The 19,297-nt window shown below is 42.8% G+C and overlaps 1 protein-coding gene across 1 annotated transcript; it reads left to right on the top strand.

The window, feature by feature from the left end:
* On the top strand, positions 1–4,085 carry LACRT (lacritin). Its single transcript, NM_033277.2, has 5 exons — positions 1–112; positions 1,663–1,716; positions 2,515–2,655; positions 3,057–3,158; positions 3,943–4,085. Exons 1-5 carry the CDS (start codon positions 55–57, stop codon positions 4,002–4,004), a joined length of 417 nt encoding a protein of 138 aa, NP_150593.1. The 5' UTR covers positions 1–54; the 3' UTR covers positions 4,005–4,085.
* The last annotated feature ends 15,212 nt before the right edge of the window (positions 4,086–19,297 follow it).

Below are 19,297 nucleotides of genomic sequence, written 5' to 3'. Positions count from 1 at the left end.
ATTCCCCAGACCTTCTGCAGATTCTGTGGTTATACTCACTCCTCATCCCAAAGAATGAAATTTACCACTCTCCTCTTCTTGGCAGCTGTAGCAGGGGCCCTGGTCTATGCTGGTGAGTATGGCCTTTCCTCTGCGCCCCACAAGAGTCCTCCCAGTCCAAGGAGCCCCTCACTCCTGCCTTCACCCCTCTCCTCCTCTCTCAGTGCTATTCTGGTTTCCCTGCCTCTGCAAGTGACTCCTCTCCCAGTTCTCCACACGTGGCCTCTGCACCCCACTGGCCAGAGGAACCCAGAACTCTCTGGCCTCTGCCTGCCCTCCCAGCTCATCTCCTCACACACCATTGTTTACCCACTATGCCTCAGCTACACTGGCTTCTCTGGTGTCCCCTGCATGTAGTTGAGCAGGGTGTCCCCTACACGAGGGTGCCCAGGCAAGGAGTGGTAGAAGCTAAAATCTGGCCGACACTCTACTTGCCAAGCAGTGAGCCTGGCCCCTGGCTGTGTCTCTTAGGAGGAAGGGATGCCTTTTTTTTTTTTTTTTTTTTGAGACCGAGTCTCCCTCTGTTGCCCAGGCTGGAGTGCAGTGGCACGATCTCTGCTCACTGCAACATCCACCTCCTGGGTTCCAGCGATTATCTTGCCTCAGCCTCCTGGGTAGCTGGGACTACAGGCTCATGCCACCTTGCCCAGCTAATTTTGTATTTTTAGTAGAGACGGTGTTTCACCATGTTGGCCAGGTTGGTCTCGAACTCCTGACCTCAGGTGATCCGACTGCCTTGGCCTCCCAAAGTGTTGGAATTACAGGCGTGAGCCACCGTGCCCTGCTGGGATGCCTTTTTTGATCCACAGAAGCACTATTTGGGCCATGATGATCCTGCTGTTCCTTGAACATCAGGATCTTCCTTCTTGTCCTTTCCTCGTCTAGAATGCTTTCCCTCTCCCTGGCCCCTTCCCCCAACCAACTCTAATGTCACCTGGCCAATGATTTTTCATCTAGAAAATCTCAGTTTACATATAATTCCCCAAAAAGGCCTTCCATGCACATGCGGAACAAATCAGATCCATGTGCCCTTCTCGCACCAGGCTGCACGTTCCCTTCCAGCACTGTCACACCAGCCATTAAATAATTTCGTAAAAGGACAGATGTAAGCTCTGTCAGGGCAGGGGTCTTGTCTGCCCTCTTCAGCACTGCACCTCCATCTCTTGGCACAGAGCTTTGCATAAATGTTGTGTTGAAAGAATAAAGGGAATCAAGGCTGGGGTCTCAATCCTGCAAATCGCTCAAATATGGCCCCATAACCCCCACATACTGTCCTCCTCCACCACAGAGGAGGTTGAGCCCCTCTGACCATGGCCAGCTCCATGACAGACACCTCAGGGAAGCCTACCAAGCCAGGGGCCAGTCAGGAGGAAGGCACTGTTCCAAGAGACATTACACTTCTCAGAGGGGAAGTTATTTCAAAAGCCACAGGAGTTAAACATCAGAGAGTGCCCCAGTAGACCCGCTGATATGGTGGAAGGGCATGTCCAACCCAAAGGGAAATTGATCCCCTTCTATCCATGAGCATTCCCAGGAGATAAGCTTTGGGAATGGGAGGGGAGGGTGGCTCGAGTAGGTCCGGTTCGGTCCTTGCTCTCATCTGGCATGTTTCCCCCATTGCAGAAGATGCCTCCTCTGACTCGACGGGTGCTGATCCTGCCCAGGAAGCTGGGACCTGTGAGTCCTCCTCTCCCTGCTGCCCTAGCCCTCGTTGGGAAGGTTTAACAGTTAGGGATGTGAGTGGTGGCTGGGAGAAGAAGCCAGTGGGAGGAGATCTGGATTCTGTGCTTGGTGGTAATGGGGAGGGGCAGGTAATATAATAAAGAAGGTGGCATGGGTTGAAATGGTACAAGGCTAAGGACAAAAGAGGATGACCCAGAGAGGCAAGGACAATAGGGAGCATGGGGAAAAGGTTATTGTGAATAAAAGGGAGAGAAACATGAGGTTAAGTGGTAAGGGCAATGTCTCACATGGCATTAATACCTTCACCTGCAAACACCTCCCATTACTCCCAATTCCTTAGCAAGATAACCATTATCTGGCCTCTAACCTCATTTTCCAACCCCATTTTCCATGACTCTCTTTTATGTCGCACCCACATCAGCTAAATTGAACTTGTTTCCATTCCCCACACATGCCTTCGCCTGACCTCTTACTCACTGCCTGCCCCCAGGGAAGCCCCTTTGGTACATCCTCTCCTGCTAACATCCTGCCTTCAAGATCCAGCTTCTCTATGAAGTGCTCCCCGATTCTCACCATCCCCTAGTCCAAATCCTTCCCCAACCCTGCCCGCTGCATTCCAAGAGACACACAGCATGCAGAAATGCTATCTCCCTTAAGGGGGCAGCGTTTAAGCCATATCACTTCTGTATCCTGGCACCCAGCACACATTAGGTATCCTGGGGCCCTGCAACCCATTCCAAAAGAAACAAACACTTTCACTTTGCTAAAATCCATCAATTTGTGCATTCACAGCTAAGCCTAATGAAGAGATCTCAGGTCCAGCAGAACCAGCTTCACCCCCAGAGACAACCACAACAGCCCAGGAGACTTCGGCGGCAGCAGTTCAGGGGACAGCCAAGGTCACCTCAAGCAGGCAGGAACTAAACCCCCTGAGTAAGTCTCTGTCTCTATGCCAGATCAACAACCTAGAAAAGTCTCTGGCTGCAGGCCCACATCACACCTCCACGCACAGAGATAAGCCTGGTGAGAAGCAGGTAGACTCAAACAGCTGAACACAAAGGCACAAATGGGATTGTGCATTGCACCCACACACAACGTTTTCACAATAGTAGATGTTGCAGCCTGCACAATACATGGTTTCTGTCCTGGCTCACACAACTTCCTATGAGAGAAGTGCTGGAGCCCTCAGCAAAACTTCTGCACTTTAGGACTTTCTGTAGGGATGATGTCCTGGGTGGAGTGGGGGTGGGGGGCGGGTGCAGGTGGGGCAATGCAGAGTTCTCTTTAAATGAGGTGATTTTTCTGCTGATGTGATTGTTCTGCTCCAAAATTAGAATCCATAGTGGAGAAAAGTATCTTACTAACAGAACAAGCCCTTGCAAAAGCAGGAAAAGGAATGCACGGAGGCGTGCCAGGTGGAAAACAATTCATCGAAAGTGAGTGCATCCCAAGGCAAGGCTTTGTGGGAATGAGAATACTCACCACCCACCATCCGGGGGTGGGATATGGGACAGAACTTGCCCCCATTTCCACCTCACATATGAGACTTGGAATTGCCACAGCCCCTGCTGTTGAAGACCCCTCACTTTGTGCTTTCATATGTTTCCAATTTCTCATCCAGATTCAAATTGCCAGCTGGGCACGGTGGTTCACGCCTGTAATCCCAGCACTTTGGGAGGCCAAGGCAGGTGGATCGCTTGAGCCCAGGAGTTCAAGACTAGCCTGGGCAACATGGCGATACCCCATCTCTACAAAAAAATACAAAAATTAGCCAGGCGTGGTGGCACATGCCTGTAGTCCCAGCTACTTGGGAGGCTAAGGTGGGAGGATCACCTGAGCCCGTGAGGCAGAGATTGCAGTGGGCCGAGATTGTGCCACTGCACTCCATCCTGGGTGACAGAGAAAGACCCTGTCTCAAAAAAAAAGAACAGATTCAATGTGCCATGTTGTCTGATATTGATTCACCTGGGGTCTAACCCCCTACCTTCCCGCAGCAGAGCCTGCTTGTTTCTATTCTTGTCCCCTGCCCCTGCCAAGGTGGGGAAGAGGGTAGGTCCTTCAGGCTCTGGTGAATCTAATCTCAATCCCTCCAACTTCTGTGTAAGCCTCTCCAGAGTCTCAGTAAGTCTGGAAAGCAGAGATGGAATTGAGGAGAAATGGAAGGGGTGGAGCTGGTGCCTGGGGTCCTAAAAGCCTCATTTGTCTCATCTTTCCTTCTAGATGGAAGTGAATTTGCACAAAAATTACTGAAGAAATTCAGTCTATTAAAACCATGGGCATGAGAAGCTGAAAAGAATGGGATCATTGGACTTAAAGCCTTAAATACCCTTGTAGCCCAGAGCTATTAAAACGAAAGCATCCAACTTGCTGTGTGCCTGTGCTCTATGGGATGGGCCCTGGAGGAAGTGCAGGGAGAAAAGCCCTCCCTGGACCAACACAAGGCATAGGATGTCCTGACCCAGGCCCTTGGCCAGTCACAGGCTGCCTGGAAGGCAGAGCCTCTAACAAGCCCTTTTATTCACTTGGAGCCACATCCACATTGCTGAGCCTCCTTTGAGTCCAAATGCCACTCCAGTTTTCGTCCCCCTCTTACTCTTCACACATTACTCCTAGTGACATTTGAGCATTTCCAAAAATTAAATCAAATTCCAAAGAACCAGGATTTATCATCCTGAAAATAATCAAAGCCTGAGCCATTTATACTAAAGCCACTTTCTGGTACCTTTATCAGAAATTCATCTCTCCTGCCCTCTATTCGTACATTCTACACTGGGCCAAAGTGGCTGGCAATGGCTAATTAGGTCAGACAGTAAAGTAATGAGCTACTACAGTGACAACTGGCACTTGGCTAAGAAGACCAATTGAATCCATTAAGGTTATTCTTGTGATGTGGTGCAGAGAAACCACTTTTGACTGTGCTCTAGATGTGCAAATTATCTTCCCCAAAGGACTAAAGTCTCTCAAAGGGGTCTTGGTCACCTCTTTCTCCTCCTGCAACTTTGTTTTCCTCCCCTACAGCTCATGGCTGTGTCTTGCACACACATGAACCAGGGAAGATCACTCATGACTTCAGGGGGCAAAGAAAGCAGTCAGATCTTCTGCCAGACCCCTCCCCAGGCCAGGCACAGGGTCTTCTGCTCTTTAACATGCCCGGAGCCATTGATTCTAGACTGTTCTTCCCACCCCATCTTAGTTTATTTTCTGTTGCTCATAACAGAATATCTAAAACTGGATAATTTATAAGACGCAAAATGTACTTCTTACAGTTCTAGAGCTAGGAAGTCCAAGGTCAAGGGGGCATGTCTGGCAAGAGCTTTCTTGCTGGCAGGGAATCTCTGCAGGATCCCAAGCTGGAATAGAGAATCACATAGTGAGGTGGCTGTCCACGCTAGCTCAGCTCTCTTCCTCTTCTTAGAAAGCCTCCAGTCTCACTCCTGTGGCAAACCATTAATCCATTAACCCATTAATTCATTAATCCATAGATGGATTAATCTATTCACAAGGGCAAAGACCTCATGACCCAATCATTTCTTTTTCTTTTTGTTTTTTAAGACAGAGTCCTGTTCTGTCGCCCACACTGGAGTTCAACGGCTCAATCTCGGCTCACTGCAACCTCTGCCTCCCGGGTTCAAGCAATTCTCCTGCCTCAGCCTCCCAAGCAGCTAGGATTACAGGTGCCCACCGCCACACCTGGCTAATTTGTTGTATTTTTAGTAGAGACGGGGTTTCACCATGTTGGCCAGGATGGTCTCAAACTCCTGACCTCATATGATCCACCTGCCTAGGCCTCCCAAAGTGCTGAGATTACAGACATGAGCCACTGCGCCCAGCATGAACCAATCATTTCTTAATAACCCTGCCTTTCAATATTGTTACTTTAGGGATTAAGTTTCAATGTAAGTTTTGGAGGGGACAAACACTCAAACTATACCATTCTACTCCTGGCCCTCTGAAACTCATGTCCTTCTCAAATATAAATATATTCATTCCAACTCCATAGCCCCAAAATCTTAGCTCATTCCAGCACCAACTCAAAAGTCCAAAGTCCAGAGTATCATCTGTGAGCCTGTGAAATACAAACGAGTTATCTACTTTTAAGATACAGTTGTGGTAAAAGCATAAAACAGACATTCCCATTCCAAAATGGAGGAATAGACAAAAAGAAACGAGTAACAGGTCTCAAGCAAATCTGAAACCCAGCAGGGCAGACATTAAATCTTAAAGCTGAAGAATAATTTCTTTTGACTCTGTGTGTGGCCTCCCATCCACAACGGGGTATGGGTTAGGCCCCCAAGACTTCAGGCAGCCTCACCCTTATGGCTTTGCTCAGTGCAGCCCATGTGACTGCTCCTAGGTATTGGAGTCTGGTGCCTGAAGCTTTCCCAGGTGGGTGTTGCATACTGCCAGTGACTGCACACTTCTGGGTTCCCAGTAGTGGTCCCACTCCCACAGCTCTACTAGGCATTACCCTAATGGAGACTCTCTACGGTGGCACCACTTCCATGGCTCTGCTAGATGGGGACTCTTTGCAGTGGCTCTGCCCCTGTGACAAATCTTTGCCTGGGCTCCTAGGCTTTTGATGATATCCTTTGAAATCTTGGTGGAGGCTGCCAAGCTGCCACAGCTTTTGCTGTCTGCAAGCCTGCAGAGTCAGCACCACCTGGACACTGCCAAGGTTTATGGCTTCTACCTTCCAAAACTGCAGCACAAGCTACAATTGGGGTCACTTGAGCCTTGGCTAGGGCAGCCATGAAGCTCTGCACTGGGGTTTCAGGGCAGAGTCCCAAGGCACCATTCTGCCCTTCTAGACCTCTGGGCCTATAACAGGAGGGGCACCCTCAAAGATCTCTGAAATGCATTTCAGGTCTTTCTTCATCGTCTTGAGAAATAGCATCCGGCTCCCTTCTATCTGTGCTAATCTTTTTAGCTGCACCCTTGATCTCCTCTTCTGAATGTGCTTTTTCACTCTTCATGTGGCCAGGCTGACAGTTTTCCAACTCTTTCCACTCTGCTTCCAGTTTAATGTAAATTTTCTTTATCTTTATAATTGTCTTTGAATTATTCCTTTGCTCCCAAATCTCAGCATAAGTGGCCAAAAGTAACCATGCACCTCCTTCTATATTTTGCTTAGAAATTTCTTCTGCAGATACTCTAGTTCGTCACTCTCAAGTTTGGCCTTCCACAAAGCCCTTAAATGTAGACACAGTTCAGTCAAGTTCTCTGTCAATTTATAACAAGGATGGTCTTTACTCCAGTTTCCAATACCTTATTCCTCAGTTCCATCTGAAATCTCATCAGAATGGCCTTACTGTTCATATTTCAACTAGCATTCTGGTCACAATCACTTAACAAATCTCTAAGAAGTTCCAAACTTTCCAAAGAACTGAGGTGCTCCATGAGTTCTCCACCCCTGCAGCAAACTTCTGCCTGGACATCTAGGTGTTTTCATACATCCTCTGAAATCTAGGTGGAGGTTCCCAAACCCCAATTCTTGAATTCTGCGCACTCACAGGCTCAGCACCACATAAAAGCTGCCAAGGCTTGGGGCTTGCACCCTCTGGAGCCACAGCCCAAGCTCTATGTTGGCCCCTTTCAGCCATGGCTAGAGTAGCTCAAACACAAGACACCAAGTCTCTAGGCTGCACAGAGCACAGGTACCCTGGGCCTGGCCCATATAACCACTTTTTCCTCCTAGGCCTCCAGGCCTGTGATGGGAGGGGCTGCTGTGAAAACCTCTGACATGTCCTAGAGACATTTTCCCCATCATCTTGTGGATTAACATTCGGCTCCTCATTACTTGTGCAAATTTCTGCAGCCGGCTTGAATTTCTCTTCAGAAAATGGGATTTTATCTTCTATCACATTGTCAGGCTGCAAATTTTCTGAACATTTATGCTCTGCTTCCCTTATAAAACGGAATGCCTTTAACAGCACCCAAGTCACATCTTGAATGCTTTGCTGCCTAGAAACCTCTTCCACCAAAAACCCTAAATCATCTCTCTCAAGTTCAAAGTTCCACAAATCTCTAGGGCAGAAGCAAAATGCTGCCAGTCTCTTTGCTAACACATAACAAGAGTCACCTTTGCTCCAGTTCCCAAAACAAGTTCCTCATTTCCATCAGAGACCACCTCAGCCTGGACTTTATTGTCCATGTTGCTATCAGCATTTTGGGCAAAGCCATTCAACAAGTCTCTAGGAAGTTCCAGAATTTCCCACATTTCCCTGTCTTCTTCTGAGCCCTCCAAACTGTTCCAGCCTCTGCCTGCTACCCAGTTCCAAAGTTGCTTTCACATTTTCAGGTATCTTTTCAGCAACATCCCACTCTACTGTATTAATCAGTGCTAATACAGTACCAGTTTAGTGTATTAGTCAGTTTTCATGCTGCTGATAAAGACATAGTGGAGACTGGGCAATTTACGAAAGAAAGAGGTTTATTGGACTTAGAGTTCCACGTGGCTGTGGAGGCCTCACAATCATGGTGGAAGGTGAAAGGCACATCTCACATGGCAGCAGACAAGAGAAGAGAGCTTGTGCAGGGAAAATCCCCTTTATAAAACCATCAGATCTCATGAGACTTATTCACTATCACCAGAGCAGCACAGGAAAGGCCTGCCCCCATGATTCAATTACCTCCCACCAGGTCCCTCCCACAACACATGGGAATTCAAGATGAAATTTAGATGGGGACACAGCGAAGCCATATCAGCAGGGATTTCTGTCTGCTCTTTTACTTCTATATCCCCAGTGCCTAGAATAGTGCCTGGAACACAGAAAGCACCCAAGAAACATTGGTTCAATGTTGAATGAATTCACCCACTTCCACCCACCTCCTCATTTATATCCTGTGAGATGAATGTCTCCATCCTCTCTGTTCTTAGAATATGCATTTGCATGTCTGCTATAATACCTCTTCACCAGAGAGGCAACACTTCAGAAGCAGGTCCAGGCGGAATTCATCTCAGAATGCCTAACACTCGGCAGGAAACAGGTGGTTAACCAGTTGTCTGTGTACTGAACGAAGGAGAAGCAAGCTCTAGGATTACCTGCCTACAGCACCCCCAAAATTCCCCAGGTTCATCCTCCTCAAAGGAGAGACAACTTCAACCATTTCACATTCACAAATTGGTGACTTTGGACACACAGTGATTATGACAAAGCTTGATGAAGGAGCAAGAGCTAACCCCAGATACTGTTTCAGAGAAAACCCCAATCCTGATGAAATCCCTACCAACCCCAGAGACAATGGCAGCAATCCAAAGGGTCTATGAGAAACAAGGAGCAGATAGTTCCCCCTTGTGGCACAGGCCTGTGGACTATGTGACTTTATTGTGAGGACAGGGTGGACCCATGTTCAAACTACTCAAGGCATACACAAACACATCTGTACCAGATGGAAGGCTGAGCATAGCCTTCTACCTCCCTTTCCACTGAATATTTCATGAAATGACTGAAAATGCTGATTTAATGAAAAACAGCCTACTTCTGGGTTGACAGTCATTTTCCTGCTTTCTGAGGTTATGGAAGTTTTAACATTCAGATATGGATGACATTCTAAATAAATTATATACAAATTAATGGGGAAAACATTCAATAACATAATTCTAAATGTAAGGAAAAGAAATAAAGATATATCTACTAATTTCTTACCTCTGAAACCAACTGAATTTTACAACAAGGAAAATAAATGCAGATATGTAAATTCCATCTTAGATGAAAATAGAAAGCCCTTACAACCCCAAATAACACTTTCTTTGAAGAAATTCTGCCAATTCCAGTGAAACTGGAACCAAATGGAGGGAGGATGCTGACACAGTGTCCCATAATAACAGATCATGGGCAGAGCTGGCAATACGCAGACTTCTCTAAGTACATGACAAACCCAGAAGAGCAAAAGCAAGGTCACCTTGTTTGTAACCAGAGCAACCATATGTATAATGAGTGCTCCTGAAAAAGAGAACTGAACACGTGGAATAGGAAACATAAGTGAAAAAAGATTTCTTAAAAATAAAATTCTAGCCAGAAGCAGTGGTGCACGCCTGTAATCCCAGTGACTCTGAAGACTGAGGCAGGAGGATTGCTTCAGCCCAGGAGTTCAATACCAGCCTGCACATAGTGTGACTGTCTCTCAATAGACAGAAAGAGAAAGAGAGGAAGGAAGGAAGGAAGGAAGGAAGGAAGGAAGGAAGGAAGGAAGGAAGGAAGGAAAGAAGGACGGAGGGAGGGAGGGAAGGAAGGAAGGAAGGAAGGAAGGAAGGAAGGAAGGAAGGACAGAAGGAGAAGGGGAAGAGGAAGGGAAGGAGGGAAGGGAGGGAAGACAACTTGAATCTAGCAGAGGGCAGGGGGAAATAAGGAGTTGTTTAATAAATATAGTTTCAGTTTTTCAAGATGCAAAAGTTCTGGAGATTGGTTATATAACAATGTGAATATACTTAACACCATTGAACTGTACACTTAATGGCTAAGCTGGTAGATTTTATGTTTTGTGTATTTTACCACAATTAAAAATTTTAATTTTAAAAAAACTTGAATCTACAGATTGAAAGAAAAAAACTGATTCAAAAAGACCAATTTTAAGAACTGGCCTAATAGAGTTTCTTATCTTCAAAGATAAAGAAAGAATCATCTGGGCATCCAGCCAAAACTATCAACACACGGACTGAAGGGAAAAGAAATAGATCGGGCTAGCTCCTGATTTCAACATCAAAAGACCATGGAGAAATTCCTACACAGTCCTCTGGGAGAAGAAAGGTGATATCCAAGCATTCTGTCTTTAGTCAAGCTATTTTACCAGGCTAAGGCAATAGGCAAATACTTTCAATATGCAACAATTGAAGGAATTCCATTCTATTAACTCTTTTAAAAAACCATTAGAAGATAAACTTCAGCCAGCCAAGAGATAAATGGAGAATATGAGGTAAAAGGAGTAGCTATGAGTGCTAAATCCATTTTAATGCAGGACAAAGCTAAAAGTGCTGTGGAAATTATGGTTACAGAGTAGGGGGTAAATGTTATAAACTTTGAGAATGTAACAAAAAATCAGCATACGGATGGAAGAGAAAGAGGGAATTCATATAAGTAGGTGGACTTTACAACTTTTATAGTTGAAGGATCAAAAAATATTTTTAACATGCTAAATCAAATAATCAAGGTTTAAAGTAAATCACTAGAAGAATTCATAATAATATAATCCATGAAAACCAGATGATAAAAAGGAAGGGAAAAGGAGAAAGTAGAAGTATACTGTTTTAATAGTTGATAGTAGAGGGAGTAAACTCTGAATAAAGATTTGAGTACATCATTTGAAGTTGATTAAAAAGATAAGCAATAGGACTATAAACAAACTATAAATCTTTTATATTAGCAGAACTATACATAAAAAGGAAAAAACAGATCATATAGCAAAATATACATTTTAAATTGTTAAAATAAAAGGATGGCATTAAGAAGATATAACTAGTACAAACATGCCTTTCATGTGAACAAACAAAAATAAAACAAATTCATGTCATAAAAAGCAAGAGTCTCAGATCAGGACATAAAGCAAAACCAAACTATAAACAATGGATTCATAAATATTATACATCAAGAACAATGGAACTGCTTTACTTTGCCTCCCTTCCTGTCTGCCTATATTCCTGCCTTACTTTCTGAATTTCAGTACAAAAGCCAGTGGGTAGAGCAGAGCAAGGCAGGCATCTGCATGAACAGGGAGTGGGGGATTACGAGAAAGCCAGAGAAAGGTGTTGGAACAGAAGATGAGGAGGGCATCTACCAGGAGCACAGTGGGTGAAGGGGAGCAGTGACCTGGCATGGGGCATCAGGGCCCGAGTAGGATGAGAAGGGCACCCATCCGGCCTGATGTGGGGGGTTGCAGCTCAAACAGAGTGAGGGGGTCTAGGTGGTGCAGGGTGACTGAGCCTGAACAATGTGGTGTTAGACTGGAATTGGAGGTAATGGTGAGAACTTATGGTCTTTGATATATAATTCGATGTAGAAATACATGTAGGTGTAAATATGCATATATAATTTATTCATAGGAATGCACATATATAATTTATTCATAGGAATGCACATACATATATAAATACATAGATACATTTCCTAGCTTGACCACTAGGAGACCTAGAAGCAGTAACATCCTAAGAACAGTGAGCATATATAGAGCCTATATCTTCTTTTCCAAATACAATTAAGAGAACAGGGATCCTTGGAGAAATGGCTAATACCAGGGGTAGGACAGAGAAAGTACATGATAAGGCTGGAATGACTTGTTGTACCAGAAAGTAAGAAAATGCTCAAAAAATGATGGAGACATATCAAAAGAATACAAAATCTAATGAGAAGGTTAGCTTAATCCCAATAATATTGAATTATCTCAGACTAACAAAATTCAGCAGAAAGGAAAAGTATTATAAAAGATTATAATAGAAAGAAAGAAAGGAAGGAAGGAGAAAGAAAGAAAATGAATGAAAGAAAGAAAGAGAGAGAGAAAGAAAAAAGAAAAGAAAGAAGGAAGGAAGGAAAAAGAAGAGAAAAAATGAAGGAAGGAAAAGAAAGGAAGACTATAAATCATTGAATAAATAGAAAGGAAAGGAAAAGAAAAGAAGAGAAAAAAGGAAGAAAGGAAAAGAAATGAAGATTATAAATCATTGAATAAATAGGAAGCCATGAGTCCATATTGATTAAATAAATGAATGGATAAGTAAATGGGGATATGAGAAAGGTTTTTCTTACAGTAGAATGGTAGCTAATAAATTCAGAAGGAATGATTGAAGTAGAAAATCACTATTCAGCAACCATCAGGGTGATAATTCAACCAGGAAACATCAATGAGCACTAAAACTAATTGGTAAAAGTTTGATAAGGAAAAGGATACTTACATAGTTTCAAAGTACCTTTCCACAAAATATTTATTAATTTCACTAGAAGAAAAAGAGTCACTTCACAGTGGAGACAGCTGGCAGACATCACCTTAATCAGTACCATCACAGAAATCGGATAAATCAAAATCATGTGCCGGCTGATAGAATGCAATGCAGAGAATTCAGTATGACTGACTGATATTCCTGCCAAAAGTGAAAAGCCTGAAATTTAATCATGAAGAACATAAGATGAACCCAAACTGGGGACACTCTGCACAATAACTGGTCTATAATCTTCAAAAGTGGCAATGTCATGAAAGTCATGGAAAGATCGAAGAACTGTGACAACTAAATGCTATGCATAATCTTGGACTGGATCCTTCTGTCATAGGATCATTATTGAAACAATGGGAAATATCTAAATGGGGTGTGTGGTTGATATGGTTATAATGTATCAGTAGTGTATCAAATATTAATTTCCTAAGTTTAATGGTTGCATTGAGGTTATGATGAAATGTCCTGGTTTGTAAGAATTACCAAAAAATTCAATAGAAAAAGAATATTTAAGTAACTCAGAAAGTGTAAAAGTCAAAAGATGAGCAAAAACCCACCAAGCAAATGAAAAAAAACAGAATCTTGATCTTAATATCAAGTCAATATTTATTTCAGAGTAAACATATTAAATGAGAGAAGGAGAAGTATTTATAAGGATAAAGGCTGCGGCTGGGCGCGGTGGCTCACACCCATAATCCCAGCACTTGGGAGGCCGAGGTGGGCAGATCACCTGAGGTCAGGAGTTCGAGACCAGCCTGGCCAACATGGTGAAACCCCGCTTCTACTAAAAATACCAAAAATTAGCCGGGCATAGTGGTGGGCACCTGTAATCCCAGCTACAAGGAGGCTGAGATAGGAGAATCGCTTGAACCCAGGAAGCAGAAGTTGCAGTGAGCCGAGATCGTGCCATTGCACTCCAGCCTGGGCAACAAGAGCGAAACTCCGTCTCAGAAAAAAAAAAAAAAAAGAATAAAGGTTGCACTCCACACTCCACAATAAAAACAGACACAAAGATTTCTGCACCTTCTAAGGAGCACCAAAACTTCAGGAAATGCAAAGAGATTCATAGTTGGACAGGCTCAAATTCACCTGTCTCAAGCCATAAAGGTCAAATAAACAAGAAAAGTTTGACTACAGAGTATCTAAGTAACCTAAACAGGAAAATAGAGTTAATGTAATACTCCTGAAAAACCAGAATATCCTTTCATTTCAGAAACTTTTGAAAAACGCATCAAAAAGTATATGATAAACAACTATATGAATACTAATGGTTAACATATCTATGAAACTTTAAAATGTACCAGGTACTATTCATAAGTACTTTGTAGATCTTAATTATTTTAATCCCCATAACAACCCCATGATAAAACTTGAGACACAGAGAGGTTAAACAACACGCCTGAGGTCATGCAGCTGATACATGGGAAAACCAGGACTTGAACCCACGCAGTGTGGATCCAGAGTCTACACTCCTAACCAATACTTGAATAAACTCTAAAGTGCAGAAATGATGCAAATGAACATTCCCCAATAATAACACAATAAAACTAGAAATTAAGAACAGAACTAAGTAATCTTTAAAATCTTATCCATATGAGATTTATCACCCTCTTAAACAACTCTTGATTCAAAGAAGAAAACAAAACCAAAATTGCTATCTAAAATAAAACAATAATGAAAATACTATATATTATATATTATAGTATATATACTATATATTAAAATCTATGAGATACAGCTAAAACTGTGTGCATAGGAAATTTCAAAGTCTTAAATATTAATATTAATCAAAAAAATGTTTAAAAATTAATTAAACACCCACCTCAAAAGAATGAACTAAATTTAATGAAAACATAAAGAATAAATTAGTAAAAGCAGAAGTTAATTGAATAGACAACAGAAAATTATAGAATCTAAATTTAAAATATCCAGAGCTAATTATTAATGGAAAATATAAACTATTATCTAACTTTAAAAAAGGGAGAGGTAAAGAGGGCAGGCATGAGAGAAACCAGAATAAGAAATGAGAATGGGGACATTACAAAGGTAAAAAGGAAATTCAAATAATGAAAAGATTATTTTGCTTAAACCTGAGTAAATCGATTTTTACATGTGTGTAATGAATTATTTTCTAGAAAAAATATCTAAGACCGCTGGGTGCGGTGGCTCACGCCTGTAATCCCAGCACTTTGGGAGACCAAGGAGGGTGGATCACCTGAGGTCAGGAGTTCAAGACCAGCCTGACCAACATGGTGAAACCCCAACTCCACTAAAAATACAAAATTAGCAGGGTGTGGTGGTGCATGCCTGTAATCCCAGCTACCAGGCAGGCTGAGGCAGGAGAATCGCTTGAACCCAGGAGGCAGAGGTTGCAGTGAGCCGAGATCGCGCCATTGCACTCCAGCCTGGGCAACAAGAGCAAAACTCCATCTCAAAAAAACAAAAAAAGAAAAGAAAAGAAAAAAGAAAAAATATCCAAGAAAACTGACCCTGGATGAGGTGAACTACAAACAGATAAGTTACGATACAGGACATAGAAAATATCAGAGCTATCACACCAAAAAGCACCACACCCAGAGAATTTTACAAGTGAATTCTCTATCCCTTTAAGGAACCAAATTTCACTAAACTGTTCCAGAACACAGGGAGGAGGAACGCTTCCAAATACATATCAAAGTCAGCAGATTATTTATTTAAAAACCCAAAAGACTGCCCACCAAAAAAGAAAATATAGATCCATCTTTCTTACTTGCAAACATTAGGGCAAAGTTCTAAATGAGATACTATCAATAAAATCTAGCAGCAAGTAGGGTCCATGCCAGGAGTGAAAGAATGGTTTGATATTAGGAAATGTATGAATATAATTATATATTATATATATGGTTAATAAATATATAATACATATGTGTGTGCATATATATATATATAAATTGTTAACAAATAAAAAGCATATGTTTATATCCTCACGATGCTCCAAAGGACTTTGACAACAATTTAACATTCATATTTTTTAAAGGTGATATTATCATTTAAGTGGTAGTGGTAATAAAACCATACTCAAAAGGTTTGCCACAAAAAGTTCTACTTAGAAAACAATCATAGAAGCATTCAGATAAATCAGTCTAGGAACATGCCCCAAGAGATATGGGAAATGATAATAATTATTATCTAAAGAAATGAAAGAAAGGAAGAAGAGAACGTCATAGAACTAAATCTATAACATCACAAAACTAAAATTCTAGAAAATATTAACATGACAGGATGTGGGGGAAGAAGACCAAAGGGACATAGCAACATGAAGTACTTTTTAGAGAAGAAATATAGATATGGGGTATCCTATTCCTTCCCACCAATATTTCAGCAATTTTTTCCACTTTATTTCTTTGCTGGGGTTGAAGGGAGAGGTCTAGGCTGGAAGATACACATTTAGGACCAATTAATACATAGATCAGATATAGATAGGATTTAAAGTTATGAAATTGAATGAAATGGCCAAAGAACTATAAATAGAGAAAAATGTCTCCTCCAATACTTAGAGGTTGGGGAAAGTTAGCAAAAAAGAAACAGCAAAGAAGCAGCAGCCAGTGAGGTAGGAAGAAAGCCAGAAAAACGTGGTGTCCTTGAAGCCAAAAGAAAAAATATATTTCCAAGAAGACGAGGTGATCAACTGTGTCAAACGCTCCTGATAGGTAAAGTAAGAGATCTAAGGACTGACTATTAGAATTAGCAATATTGCTATCTTGACAAGAACAATTTCAGTGGGATGGTTTGGGTGAAAGCCTGATTTAGAATGAGTGTGGTAGGAATTGGCCAAAACAAATACAACCAATCCTTTAAATAGGCTTGGTTGTAAAGTGAAGTAAATCCCCTCAAAGGCATTCTGTTCAATGTCCACCCTAGAGATAATGGCCTTCAAGGACAATAGACAGTAGATTCTCCCAGAAAACAGACCTGAGGGCTGCCAAATTGGCCAACAAAGGTTACTAATTCAGCGCTAGGAAGGGCACCCTTGCTATTTCTGCCCAGCAGAATATTTACTGTGAATCACTGGTTACTGGAGAAATTTCCCATCACTCCTTTTTTGATGGAACTTTTCATTATGTTACAGTCTTCCTTCTCCACTATTGTATACTGGATGTTTCGATGATATATAACATCTTTTAAACATAGGTCATAGGACATCAAGGAATTGCAGCTAGGCTTGAGATCTGGATCTGCAATTAGGTACAGCAAACAGATGAGAAGCTTTCGAGTATCTTCTTTTAGAGATGCAGGCATTGTGTTTCATCTAGCACAAAAAATTTTAAGTGTGTATATGTGATGAACGGTGTTTATAAACGATGGACAGCCAAAAGTGGAACTGTAGCAGACACCTAAAATAAGATGCTGAATAAAGCCAGGCACACGTGTCACACTTCTAATCCCAATGTTTTGGGAGGCCAAGGTGGGAGGATCGCTGGAGGCCAGGAGTTCAAGACCAGTCTGGGAAACATAGAGAAACCTGTCTCTATCCCCCCAACCAGAATTTTTTAAATTAGTCAGGCATGGTGGTATGCACCTTTAGTCCCAGCTATTTGAAAGGCTAGGGTGGGGGGATGATTTGGAAAGATGCCAAATAAAATCTCTATTGTAACTATAGCTACAAGTTGAAAACAATAAAGTGCTGAGTACTCTACAACCTAAAGAGAGCCAACAAGGAGGTACCAGACACAACCCTCAGGACTGATGATTCAGAAGTCAGAATTTGTCCTGTCACCATCACCCTACTCCCCAGTATGTGTTAAGAACAGGGTGAGAAGGAAAACTGGAGATTTTTCAGGGTCATGAGTTGTCATCCCTTCCCTCCACCCTCAAGCCAAGCAGCAAGGGCTTGGTGCCTGCCAAAAGGAAGAATGAAATCTCATTCCAAATTCAACACCTGCTTGCACAGTGGACTTGCTGATCTGCCCTCTGTGCCTGCTCAAACAGAGGAAAAAATAGAAGACTAGAAGGAAGTGAGGAGTGAGATGACCAGTCTTTTATACTGATTGGTACGGAAAGAGGGCAAGAGTTTCCTGTGGATTAAACAGATCTTGTGGCTTGAGCCATCTTGTTGGCATCCCACTCAAAAGGGGAAGTCGCTTGACAAGCAGACCTCCGATGTGAGAATATATAGGGTGGACTGCCGAATGGCTTCTTAGGGTGGTTGAAAGAGAAAACTGTACAGTAGGGAGCCCGCAGGTGCCCCAAAGACTCACATGTGCACCCCTTCCTTAAGATAGCCATCATTTGGTCTCTTGCCACAAACAGGACATGATCAGCCAGTCTTGGCCCGAGAAGCAGCACTAGCCAAGAGAAGAGAGAGTCTGACAGCAATCAGATAAGGGATGTTTATTTCTTTTCATTGATTCTCTCCTTGCTTAAACATGCTGGGAGGAGCAGAGAACAAACTAGATGGAAGAAAAAGGAGGTGGAGAAAGTGAGTGTTGAATTGGATGTGAAACTGAAACATTAAATTGGACCTACCTATAGAATATACCAGAGATATTATTAAAGGATTAGAAATGGAGGTTCCCCGGAGCATTTTTAAGGCAGCAATTAAAGGAAAATAAAACAATTACATATTTGAACCCTGGGTTCAGACTGTTGAATATGCCCATTAAATGCTATTGGTTGCCTTTTTAACAGCTGCACCTCCCTTTCTCCTTGTGGACAGATTGATTTTATTCCCTATGCCCCTTTCTCATGGCCGTGTGTTTCTGGGGAGGCAGGCCCCATCAGGAGATGAATCAGTCAGCCAGAGCCGATCAAAGTGGTCCCATTGCCTTTGCCAAAGCCTGGTTGACATGTCGTGATGCCATTCTGGCTAGCGAGACATGAGAGAGAGTACGCTATCAAGACTCCCAAGAAAGGATTCTCTTGAGCATAAAAGGTAACACAGGAAGAGAAGGTCATTTTTCTGCCTCTGGACATTGTGAGGATGTGATACCTGGTATGGCAGCAGCCAGCTGAAGCTACCTGGTATGGCAGCAGCCAGCTACCTGAAGAGAGGTAACCAGAAGACCAGGCTCTTGGACAGAGAAGAATAGGATAGAGAAATGGAAAGAATCTAAGTCCTTCGTGAATTCATTAAGCTGCTGAATTTACCAAACCTACCTCTAGTGTTCTTGCATCACGAGATATGCCTTTTTCATTGTCTGAGCCAACTGATTTGGACTGCCCATTATTCCCCACTAAGAGCATCCTACCTCAGACTATGTAGGAAATTGGGTGCTCTGGGTTGCAACTGAAGTCTATGTTATGAAGCCTGTACATCCCTAAACAAGGGCCCCAGTGTTAAACCCTCCTCCCCACACCCGGGAGGGAATTAGTGGGAATTCAAGTCTCCCTAACACATAGATGTGACCGTGATGGGTCACAGCCACAACGTGTTCTGGTTTTCCCTTACTTAGAGTCCTCTCTGTGGATTCACAAGTCACACGATTCCTTCCAGATTCAGAATTCCAAAATTTTTTGATCTTCAGTCTTCCCCAAGAACAACTTCCATCCTCTGACTGTGGACTCTGCCATTTGCATTTCCTCTCCTGATGTGCAAGTGGGAAGGACAGGTGCCCTGGCCTTCAGGGTGTCTACCCTCCAACCATCCTGATTTGCTATGGCCCCTTCTCACAGCTTGCAGTC

Source organism: Homo sapiens, chromosome 12 (assembly GCF_000001405.40).
Source record: "Homo sapiens chromosome 12, GRCh38.p14 Primary Assembly".
Taxonomy (NCBI): Eukaryota; Metazoa; Chordata; class Mammalia; order Primates; family Hominidae; genus Homo; species Homo sapiens.
Note: the sequence above shows the minus strand (reverse complement) of the source record. Positions and strands in the feature narration are given on the sequence as shown.

Bases quoted from the DNA above. Each gene is read 5' to 3' on its own strand.
- LACRT (NM_033277.2), top strand. From the start codon at position 55: ATGAAATTTACCACTCTCCTCTTCTTGGCAGCTGTAGCAGGGGCCCTG. The intron at 113-1,662 runs GTGAGTATGGCC...CCCCCATTGCAG, and splicing joins AGGGGCCCTGGTCTATGCTG to AAGATGCCTCCTCTGACTCG. The intron at 3,159-3,942 runs GTGAGTGCATCC...CTTTCCTTCTAG, and splicing joins TGGAAAACAATTCATCGAAA to ATGGAAGTGAATTTGCACAA.